At 32.1% G+C, this 13049-nt stretch overlaps 1 pseudogene; it reads right to left on the bottom strand.

Annotated features, from left to right (window-relative positions):
• Positions 405 to 1148, bottom strand: EIF3KP3 (eukaryotic translation initiation factor 3 subunit K pseudogene 3; annotated as a pseudogene).

Consider the following 13049-nt stretch of genomic DNA (forward strand, 5'->3'; position numbering starts at 1 on the left):
AAGTATATTTATTTCCATCTCCTCTTCGAGTTGAAGCCTGAGTTTCTGCAACTTTAAGGATATCACAGGGCTTTTAAAGAGATATTTTAATTACTTTTTGTGATTTAATCTTTTTTTTTTTGATGTAGGGATAATCTATAATGAGGCTTGATGTCTTTCTTCAATTTGCACAGTCCAGCAGAAATCAATGAAATTTGTGAATTGGGAAATGGAAAAATCCCTGTATTTTCCCTCTTAGGCCTCTCGGCCCATGATGAGAGGGGCTGCCATGAAGGTCTTTGACATGTTCTGGAGACATTTTCCCTATTGTCATTACATATGCAAATTTCTGCAGTAAGCTAGAATTTCTCCCCAGAAAATGGGGTTTTCTTTTCTGTCTTTTTTTTTTTTTTTTTTTTTTTTGCCTAAATCAACACATCTTTATTAAACACCTGCAGTTACTGGGAGGAGGCGATGATGCTGGACACACTGTCAAAGTCAATCTTCTCTAGAGTATTCTAGGGTTTAATGCTCTCTTCCTGGTTACAGATGAAGATCGGCCCTGACTCGTTAGCGCTCCAGCCATATTTGCTCATCTACACCTTTAGCTGGCTGGCTAACAGATCACCAAACATTTTACCAAGCAGCCAGCATCCCATGTGCTGGTAAGTGATACCCATGACATGGCAGATAAACTTTCAGACAGAGTCTTCAAAGCCGGTTATACCTTCCAACAGGACCATGTTTTCCTTGCCAGAAGGCCTGGAAGTGGCAAGTCTCCAGCAAGTCCCCGAGGTGCAAAATCTGTTGGATTGCCTGCTCTTCTTGTTGTGCTGGTGGATCATGCACGTGGACAGGGTGAAGTTGGTGTGCGGCAGGTGTTGAGGGCCTTCAGCAGGATCTGGGCAGTGACCGTGGTCTGAAAAAATGCTAGGTTGAACTGGTACAGCTTTAGGACAGCCAGGTTGTCTTCTAGATCATAGGCATTCTCCTTGGCCTGCGTCTCCATGTAGTGTTCCAGGGTGGCCAGGATTGTATCTGTTGATGTCCTTAACCAACTTGCCCCCATTGGCTCTCATTTGCTGAAATATGGCCATGACTACTGTCACCTTCCGCAACCAGGGCTGGAGGCTGACACTGGACCTGTATTGCATCCTCCAGGACTGGAAGGGGTGGGGTTTTCTTTTCTATTGCATCATCAGGCTGCATACTTTTCAAACTTTTATGCTGTGTTTCCTCTTAAATGATATGCAGTTTAGAAATTTTTCCCCACCATACCCTAAATCATCTCTCTCAAGTTCAAAGTTCCACAGATCTCTAGGGCAGGGGCAAAATGCTTCCAGTCTCTCTGCATGGCAGGAGGACCTGTACTCCAGTTCCCAACAAGTTTCTCATCTCCCTCTGAGAACACCTCAGCCTGGACCTTATTGTCTGTATCACTATCAACATTTTGGTTAAAGCCATTCAAGAAGTCTCTATGAAGTTCCAAACTTTGCCACATCTTCCAGTCTTCTTCTGAGCCCTCTAAACTTTTCCAACCACTGCTTGTTACCCAGTTCCAAAATTGCTTCCACATTGTCAGGTATCTTTACAGCAGTGCATCACTACCAAGTACAAATTTACTGTTCTCATGCTGCTAATAAAGACATACCTGAGACTGGGTAATTTATAAAGGAAAGGGGCGTAATTGACTTACAGTGCCCCAGGGGTAGGGAGGCCTCAGAAAGTTTATAATCATGGTGGAAGGGGAAGCAAACACATCCTTCTTCACATGGCAGCAGCAAGGAGAAGCGCAGAGTGAAGTGAGGAAATAGCCCCTTATAAAACCATCAGGTCTCATGAGAACTCACTCACTATCATGAGAACAGCATCATGGGGGTAACCAGCGCCATGATTCAATTACCTCCCACCAGGTCCCTCCCATGACATGTGGGGATTATGGGAATTAAAATTCAAAATGAGATTTGGGTGGGGACAAATCCACATTGTATTAGGTGCTATTCTCTAGACACTGGAAGCATCACTTCTGTAGGCCAACTGAGGTTAGGAAAACCTGGGCTTCATTGTTTCAAACACATTGACTGAGATATATACAGCCCCAAACTCAGGGTCACACAGCTTTCCTAGTAGGATGCTAACTTTGAAGAACAATTTTTACCAAGATGTGAATTATGAATTTAGCTTTTTCAGAAGTTCTTTTTTTATAATTAGTTTATAAAACTGATCTCCTGGCAGCACAGTCTGCTCTCTGAGATAAGAAGATATTGGTTTTCTGACAATCACAGTTAATTTGGGTATTGGCTTAGCTGAGTTCATCAATTTCCTGAAAGCACAGTTGTGCTAACGTGGACCATTCAATTTGACTATCTCACAATTTTCATACTTCATACCTCTCAATTCCGAGAAATATCACATGTCAGTGAACCTCTATCCACTTCATCAAATCTCAATTATATTTAAAGTTTTATCATTTGTAGTACAGCATGTTGACATATTCGACATTTTATTTAACCTTAAAAATATGGTTCCTATTGTGATCTGGTTAGTGGATAATCAAAATCAAAATCTATTGCACCTTAAAGGAAACAATGAACAGAGTGAAGAGACAACCTAAAGAATGGGAAAAATATTTGCAAACTTTACATCTGATAAGCAGCTAACATCTAAAATATACTCAACTCAGTAGCAAAAAAAAAAGTATACCTGTTTACAGAATGTACAAAGGATCTGAGTAGACCTTTCTCAATAAAAGAAATACAAATGGCTAACAGATATATGAAAAAATGCTCAACATCAATACTCATGAGAGAAATGCAAACTAAAACCACAATGATATATTGACATTTTACCTGTTTTTATCTGTTAGAATGGCTATAATCAGAAAGAAAAAATATGACAAATGTTGGCAAAGATATAGAGAAAAGGTAACCCATGCACACTGGTAGGAATGTAAATCATAGATTTCTTTATGGAAAATGATACAACAGTTCCATGAAAAATTAAAAGAAGATCTACTATATGATTCAGCAATTCATCTTTTGAGCATATAACCAAATGAAATGAAATCAATATATTGATTAAAGAATTCCACTCTTAATATTCACTGCTGAGATAATTTTCAGTACCAACTATCTTAGGTCATATTCCTTTGAAATGATTTGTTAAGGAAGTGTTTCCATGAAAAAATCAGTAAAGGGCTGGGGGCAGTGGCTCACACCTGTAATCCCAGCACTTTGGGAGACTGAGATGGGAGGATCGCTTGAGCCCAGAAGTTTGAGGACAGCCTGGATGACAGAATGAGACCCCATCTCCACACACACACACACACACACACACACACACACACACAATAGTAAAGGAAAAAATATAGCCAGGTGTGGTGGTACATGCCTGTAGTCCCAGCCACTCGGGTGCTGAGGTGGGAGGATCCATTGAGTTGGAAGGTCAAGGCTACAGTGATTGCACCACTGTACTCCAGCCTGGTGACAGATTGAGACACTGTCAAAGAGAAAGAAAGAAAGAAAAAGAAAGAAAGAAAGAAAGAAAGAAAGAAAGAAAGAAAGAAAGAAAGAGAAAGAGAAAGAAGGAAAGAAAGAAAGAAGAAGAAGGAAAGAAAGAAAGAAAAAGAAAGAAGGAAAAAGAAAGAAAGAGAAAGAGAGGGAGAGAGACAGAGAAGGAAGGAAGGAAAAAGGAAGGAAGGACGGGTGGAAGGAAGGAAGGAAGGATTAGTAAAAGAGTAGAGATGGTAGGACATAAAAATAGAGAAAGCTACACATGAAGGAAGGAAAGAAACAAAGAAAGAAACAGCAGCAAAGGAGTAGAGATGGCAGGACATAAAAATGGAGAAAGCTAGATATGGGGTGATCTCAGAGGAAAGCTTCACCTGGTCCTACAGGGTAATTATGAAATGAAAGCAGCCACAATAGTTGAAAAATGCTTTTATTGAAGTTTTAAAAATATTTCTTTAAATTATCAAAATGCAAAACAAAAAAAATTGAAAGATTAAAAATTGTAATATAGATATACAAAAATATATGTGTTATGTAGAAGAACAAAGTACAGAATATCCTTAAGGTGATATTATATAAACACTTCTCTCAATTGAAATTCAAAAACAGTCAAAATAATTGATGAATTATAAGTTTGAGGCTATTTTTCTTATTGATGTTTAGTTTATACACAGTCAAACTCAATATTTTTAGAAGTACCTTTAGATGAATTTTGACAAACATATACAGTTCTTTAATCATATAATCAATATGTAGAATGTTTCAATCAATGAAAAAATATCATCCACACACATTAGTTGCCATTCACTACTCTCTACACTCAGCCCCTAAAAACCACTAACCTTATTTCCATCCCTACAACATTGTAATTGTAGAGTGTCACAGAAATGAAATTATATGGTGTGTAGTTATTTGTGTCTGTTTTATTTTGCTTCACCCAGTTTATTTTATTTTATTGTTTATATTTACCATATGAATATATTAGAATGTATTCTCTCCCTTAATATACATGCTAGAAATTCATCCACAAGAACTATTCACAGCATGAAAACCATTCAGTTATGATGGACATTTGGGTTATTTTCATGGACTTTGAAAAATTGTGAATAATAACAATTCTAAACGTTTTGTGTTACTTTTTGTATGTAAACAAGTTTTTCTCCCCTTGGGTAAATTTAATTGCTAAGGCATAGGTGATTTTAGCCTTAAGGGATAAGTGTATGTTGAACACTATAAGTAAATGATTGATTGTTTTGTGGAGCAGCTATAAAATTCTCTGTATGTATGGATCTGTATGTATAAAAGAGAATAGAGAACTCAGAAACCCATGTAAAACGTTGGTTAACGTTGAGAGTTCTTTATATGTTTTAGAAATAAGTATTTTTTCATTGTTGATATCACAAGAATGGGAAAAAATGTTTGCCAACCCCAAACCTACAACAATGTTGTTTTTTCTTTTGCATTCTCTTTATATGGACTTTTGCAGAAAAAAATTTTCAATTTTGATGAAATGAAATTTAGATTGGTTTTCTTTTATGTATAGTTCTTTAAGTGTCATGTCTGAGAACCCTTCACCAAGATCTAGGTCCTGAAGATTTTCTCTGATGTTATTTCCTAAAAGTTTTGTAGGTTTGTATTTAAATTTAAATCTTTTTACCCAAGATTTTTATTATTTTTAATAAGATGTGAGATTTAAGTAAGGGTTTGATGGGGGAATGGCTAAGGATATTCAATTAATAAAGCACCATATGTTGAAAATGTTGTCCTCCATCCAATGCATTGATTTTTTACCTTTGTCCAAATCAGTTGGCTGTACTGAAGTGGCACTATTTCTGGGTTCTCTATGCTATTTTATTAATCTATGGGTCTATTTCTTCACCAATAACACATAGGATGACTACTATAGCTATATGGCTTCAATTCATGTAAATTGATTGTTTCCACTATATATTTTTTCAAAACTGTTTACTTTCAAGTTTTTTTTTTAATGTCTTTCCCTAAATGCTTTAGAAAAATCCTATTTATATCTAAAAAAACTTTCTGAGGTTTTAGTAGAAATTGTCTTAAATCTGTATGTCTATTTGAGTAGACTTGACATTTTGGTTATTCATAGTCTTCTGACCCATGAACACAGCATGTCTCTCCACTTATTTAGATCTTCTTTGATTGCTTCTATCAGTGTTTTGCAGTTTCTGAAATAAATATCTTTTAAATGTTATTAGGTTTACACCTACTAGTTTTTTTCGAGTATAATTATAAAATATTTGGAGTATTTCCGTTTTCTTTCTCCTACTGATTTCTAGGTTATTTCCATCACGTTCTAAACATATGCTTTTTATGATTCATGTTTTTAAAGTGCACTAAGTTTTTTGTATGGACCAACATATGATTTTGTTTTTGTTTTTAGTGAATAGTCCATGTATAATTAAAAAGAATAAGAACATATATTCTCCTGATGTTGACGTGTTTTACAATTATCAATTAGGTCAAATTGTTTAATGACATAGTTTGTTTCTTCTTTATGCTTACTGATTTTCTGTCCACTTGTTCTGTTAATAAGAAAGAAGTGTTGAAGTTTCCAACCATAATAATTGATTGGTTTATTTCTATTTCTAGTTCTGTGAGTTTTGGTACTTGTATTCTGTAGTTCTGGGCTATAGGTGCATTCACATTTGGGAGTTTTATGTTCTCTTGAAGAATTGACTGCATCATTATGTATTTCCTCTTTTTATCTCTAGTAATATAACTTTTTCTGAAGTGAGTTTTGAAGTATTAACTTTTAGTTCCTGGGTACATTACTAGAATATTCTATGTGTACAAAGTCATTAGTCATTGCAGGCTTACCATTTTTGTCAAGAATGTTTTTGTTTTGATTTTTGACGACTGATTGAATTTTAGTTTTTCCCAACCACTAAGGACAACATAATAATTATAAAACTAGTATTCAAACTTTAATAAATGTCTGTTAAATTATTTTCTATAGTAGTTTTTTATATATATACATTTATCTTGGGTAATTAGCACCTTTATAAATGTCAATTGTTTTAGATAGAAACATGGCACATCTTTCCTTTGTTCAAGTTTTAATTTAAATATTTTAGTACATTAATTTCCTTTATATAGCTAAAACATTTTGAAATATTTTGGTGTTTTTTGCATTCTTTTCAATAAAATTATTCCCTATTCATATTTTCTATTAAACTATTGCTTAAATATTTATGTTCCATAGACTTCTATCTTGTGGTAACTTACATCACAAATGTTTTTATTACATTTTCTTCTGTAGTGATCTAAGATTCTCAGACTTTCTACAAAATTCGATGTGCAGATATCTTATTTTTTATTGATAAGAGGTTCTTTAGAAATTAAATGATTAAGTTGTTCTTAATAATTCCCAATAAAAATATCTATTATAAAACAATATTAGCTTTATGTTGTTATGAGGCATTCCTTGTATTCTTAATAAAGACTCCTTAGATTTATTTTTTGAGTCCCTCTGTTCTTATAATTTATATATCCTGTCTCAGCATGTACTCTAATAAGTGCATGCTACATTTTAATAATACTTTTAGCCCTCTTGTTTATATTATGTATTCTTTCTCTCCTACTAAATAATTATTGCATTATTTAGGTAACTTTTACTTTAGTGGTGTAGCCTCATTATAGTTTTTTTAATTACCAATGTTATATCTATATTCATTCATAAGTAGTTTACAGGAATTGTTTTAAATTTTTATAATTGATTAATCAGCTTTGTAATAAACATTTTGCTAGTTTTATTCAATACATTATGAGTATTCTTTATGTTACTCCTGGAATAGTTTACTTAAGGATAGTGTGGTAATATGTTTATGAATCATCCATGCTAAAGATAATCTAAATTGTGAAGTTTTAATGTATTTCTTTGATATCTTTCAATTATTAACTATTAAGTATATTTTATTCACAGATTTTTGGACATTTCTATTTTTCTTTAGAAATGTGCCTATTTTATCAAGATGTTCAAAATTTAGAACATAGTGTTACTTTACTTTTAAAATTTCTATATATAGCACTACTGGTTTATTTCTTCTTATGTTCTCATACATATTTTTTCTAAGATCTTGTAATATTTTTGTAATTAAAAAAATAGCAATTTGTTTTTACATCCTCCTCTGCCTAAACACCCACAATGTTCTAACAAAATAAATCCACACTTGGTGTTTGCATTTAAGTTAGTTTTGAAAAATCAAGTTACAGTATTTATTTTTTCTTTCGCTACATTTTTTTTGTTTAATACATATAAATTACGCACTTTTAAAACTCTCACTCACATCACCACATGTAACCATGTGTAGAAAAACATAAATGTCCACATAAGTCACACTGGAGTCTAATTAAAATGATAGTCCTGTTATGATAGAGTAGTGCTCTTTACAGTAAATTATAGCATATGGTACAGGAAAGAAAAGGTGATTAATAGTACCTAATACTCTTTATAGTATACATATGCCCAGATACAGTCTTCCTCTTAAAATATATAGGTCCAATAATAATCTCTGTTGGTTATGAAGTGATAACTCCTTGTGGTTTTTGGACTTACATTTCCCTGATAGTGAGTGACATTGAGTACCTTTTCATAAACTCATTGGTCATTTGTATGTCTTTCTTTGAGAAATGTTTATTTAATTATTTAGTCTATTTTTAAATTGGTATGTTTGTTTTTATTCTATTGAATTATAGGACTTCTTTATATTTTTTAGGTATTAACCCCTTAGCAGATATATGATTTACAAATATTTTCTTCATTTTTATAGGTGAATTTCCATTTTGTTCATTTTTTCCTTTGAAGTGTAGAAAATGTTTTAGTTTGACATAGCTCCATTTGTGTGTGTTTGTTTTTGCTGTTTATGCTTTTGTTGTCATATCCAAGAAATCATTGTCAAGACCAATGTCAAGAAGATTTTCTCCTGTGTTTCCTTCTAGGAATTTTATTAATCCTTCACATATTATTGTTTAATTCATTTTAAGTTGATTTTTGTGTATGGTGTATGATGAGGGACCAATTACAAAAGATAACTTTTGTTTTTTTTAGACAGGGTCTTGCTCTGTTGCCCAGGCTGGTGTGCAGTGGCACAATCATAGGTCACTGCAGCCTCGACCTCCTGGCTCTAACGATCCCCCCACCTCAGCCTCCTGAGTACCTGGAACTACAGGTGTGCACTACCACACCTGGCTAATATTTTTATTTATTTATTTATTTTGTAGAGACAGAGTTTTACCATGTTTCTCAGGTTGGTCTCAAACTCCTGCACTCAAGAAATCTGCCCACCTCAACCTCCCAAAGTGCTGGGATTATAGGCATGAGCCACTGCACCTAGCCAGATAACAAATATTGTTGTGGATGTAGAGAAAAGGGAACCCTTATATACTGTTGATAGAAATGCAAATTGGTGCAACAACTATGGAAAAAAAGGATGGACGTTCCCCGCCAAATTATAAATGAAATTATTATATAATCTAGCAATCCCACTTCTGTATATACATTCAAGAAATTGAAATCACGATCTCAAAAAGATGTCTGCACTCCCATGTTCATTGCAGCATTATTCACGATAGGGAAAACATGAAAGCAACTGGAATGTTTATCAATGGATGAATGCAAAAAGAAAATACGGTATATACATACAATCGAATATTATTCAGTTTTTACAAAGAAGTAAATTCTACCACTCGCTACAACACGGATAAATCTGGAAGACATTATGCTGAGTGATATACACTGGAAAAAGAATGACAAATGCTACAAGATCCCATTTATATGAGAAAAATCTAAAATAATCAAACTCATAGAAGTAGAGGCTAGAATAGTGGTTTCCAGGGACTGAGGGGAGGGGGAAATGAAGATTTATTAGCCAAAGATTAAAAAGTTGCAGTTACACAAAAAGAGTAAGCCCTGGAGATCTATTGTATTGCATAGAGTCTATAGTTAACAATATCATTTGTATACTTAAAAATGTGCCCAGAGGCTAGATGTTATGTTAAATGTCCTTATCACTGTAATAATAACAACAATAACTGAAGAGTGTGGGAGAAAACTTTTGGAGGTAATGTATAAGTTTATGGCATAGATTGTGGTAATGATTTTACATATGCATACTTATCTCCAAACTTATCAAGCTGCATATAATAAATATTTATGTCTTTTTGTGTCAATCATACATTATTAAGGTGGTTTTAAAAATTAAAATAAAATATCTAAGTCCAAATTCATGCATTTAAATTTGTAAACATAAATAATATAGGTATATTTCTAAATATCAAAAATTCACTATTACTATTCACAGTGAATTAATATTAATAAATAAAATTCACTATTATTTAAATTTATTATCTAAATCTCTAAAATTCACTGTTATCCAGATTGATTCCCTATTATCCAGTTTGCCAATTCCTAAGTTATTCAGAAACAGATCTACTTCTATTTTTTCCTGAAATATCCAGATGTTGCAAGAAAACCTAAGTCTTTGCCATGAACCATCAATGCACTTGGACCTGTGCATACCGCAACATAAAATCTTTTAACAGATGCTTTTCCTCAGCTTTGTAGATTTTTCTTATTTGGATGCAAAGTATTACACATCCGGTTATAGAAGTGAGTCTTTCCTTTTGATTACAGGAAAAAATGTAAATGAAAAGAGATATTGGCTTTATGCCTTTATTTCTTGTACCATAAAATTATTTATTCATTAATATATTTATTTACTTCTAACTTCTTCTATAATCATGGTCATCAGCATAAGAATGTAAATTATATTTAGATTGCTGAATGTGTTCTTTTTTTTTTTTTGAGACGAGTTTTGCTCTTGTTGCCCAGGCTGGAGTGCAATAGCGTGATCTTGACTCACTGCAACCTCTGCCTCCCAGGTTCAAGCGATTCTCTTGCTCAGCCTCCCTAGTAGCTGGGATTACAGATGCCCGCCACGATGCCCAGCTAATTTTTTTTTTGTATTTTTAGTAGAGATGGGGTTTTGCCATGTTGGCCAGGCTGGTCTCGAACTCCTGACCTCAGGTGATCCATGAGCCTCGGTAGGTCTTCTAAAGTGCTGGGATTACAGGCGTGAGCCACCACTTCTGGCCATGTGTTCTCTTTAAATAAATCTCAGATACATTTTGAAAATATAGCTTTTATAAAGTTTAAAAGCAATTTTTTCATTGATAGATATTTTCTACTTCTTCATGTATAACTTTTACATATATCCAGACTCATCATTTCTTAATATAGTCTCACATTTTTCATATATTTTTAAAATTTCTCACCTTTTACCATTTAACCTCCCTCTCTCGTTGTGAAGTTCATATGTTTGTGTGTGTGTATACCCTAAAAACAAGAAGGACTAGCCAATCTACATTTCTAAAAGCATAGACAAAAACACAAGTCAAAATACTCCACCTTTTTTTCACAATCAGTATAAATTAAATTTATTACCTCTATAGATTTAAAATAGAAATTAGATGTAAATATAAATATAAATAAATGTAAAATTAAAGTGTATACTATGCACAGAATTAAATAAAAGATACTATAATATAGTGAAAATTAGAAAACTTTATAATACAGGGGAAATCAAATATATATGTAAATGTAGAATATTTGCAGTTCCAGAATAAGATACATAATAATTTATATGATATTTATGTGATTGGAAAATTATCAAATAAAGAAATTCTTGAAGGTTTTCAATAAACACCCACATCTACAGCCATTATGTAACGCTAAGTCATATTTTTGAATGCCCAGTCATATTGAAGAAGATTTTAGGAAGATTTTAAAGTGTTAAATATTTAAGTGATCACACAAAGGCTTATTTTTATAAGGATATTATGAGTCATTATTGTTGTTTGTATATCAACTGGAATGCTGACCTAAATTTTTCTCAATTAATTTCATAAACTTAAATATGTTCAAGAGACATGATGAGAGAAAAGCAAGCAATATAGAATAAAAAGAGATCAAGCTTTTGTGGTGAAGCAACTCAGAATGAATTATATTTTTGAAAACCTAGAAACTTTGTGACCTCAAGCAAGATAACACATATTACCTTCAGTTTGTTTATTTATTATTTATTAAAGTATGATTGTAATATGATACATAAATAATACTAGAAATTTTAAAAAGTACTATATTTATAAAGCATCAGAACCAGAAAAGGTTATTATAATTTGTCTCATTATAGCAATTGCAATATGAAAAGAAACTAGTCCTCAAAATAAATTACTTTACTTGTTTTATTCTATTTGTGGTGATAGATGTATTATGTTGATTGTGGTAATCATTTCATAATGTATAAATTTATAAAATTATCACATTTTATACCACAACTACATGTAATTTTTATCAGACCACAATAAAGCTTGAGAATGTAACATATACTTCAATAAATAAAAGACTACTATTAATAATATACATTTATTATTCCTATTTCTCCCTGTCATAAGAAGAATTTTGTAAGATTTGTTTAAAATGCATATTATAGCATGTTGAAATAATTATATTAAAAATCACGGTTTAAAATTTTTTCAGAAATTATTTAAAGAATAATTCCTGATTTATGGAGTAAATATAGAAAGTAATAAAATCATTAAATATACATTATTTTGGGACATTAAAAATAGAGAATAGTAGGTTCTTATCTGGGGGAACATACCTTTGTCCTTAGCCAAACATGCATGCAGATTTTACCAATATTCTAGTAAAAATAAATGGGTAGATATAGTAATAACAATTATATATCTGCTTGATATTTATAATTTACTCTAGGTTTATGTTAAAGTTAATAGTATCCCAGAGAGTGAAAGTAGACTTTTGGGTTAATTCATGTAATTAATCTAGAACATACTAAGGTTAAAAGCCTTTCTTCAGTTATCAATTAGAAGAGGTACCAAAATTGGCTGTTAACTAACCTAGTGTCCCAATACTTGTGAAGCACTCATTTACAAGCCACACAAACTAATGCTTTGTTGTTGACATATTTATATTTGCAATGATAATTAGTATACATATAATCTATTACCTTTACTTATTCTAGTTATAAAAAGAGCTACACTCATTTTGCAATTTGTAGAATAGATGCTATACGATGGAACAACAGTGTTTGCTTCAGTAGCACATATACTAAAATTAGAACCAAAACAACAGAATTATAGAAATCAATATGTACTGCTGAGAAGAATATCTTAATTATACTTTTTATAATGAACTAATTGTTTTCTAAAACTTAAATGACAATACAGCAGAAATAGGTTTAGATACACATTATTAAACTCTTAATATATACTTTATCATATGAAATGAGTTAACTAGTTAACCATTATTTTAAATTAATTTTGAATACCATATGTATAACATACATAAATAAATTAGTTTAAATTGTATATCACCATTATTTTGTTTCTTTACAAATTAGCTTTACAAACCGCAGCTCTCTGTATATTCAAGATAATACTGTTTAATTCATAATTACACTTTTGTAAGATGTATAATAAGAGCTTTTGAGGTGCAATTATACTTCCTCTTTAAAT

This window comes from Homo sapiens, chromosome 4 (assembly GCF_000001405.40).
Source record: "Homo sapiens chromosome 4, GRCh38.p14 Primary Assembly".
In the NCBI taxonomy this organism is placed as follows: domain Eukaryota; kingdom Metazoa; phylum Chordata; class Mammalia; order Primates; family Hominidae; genus Homo; species Homo sapiens.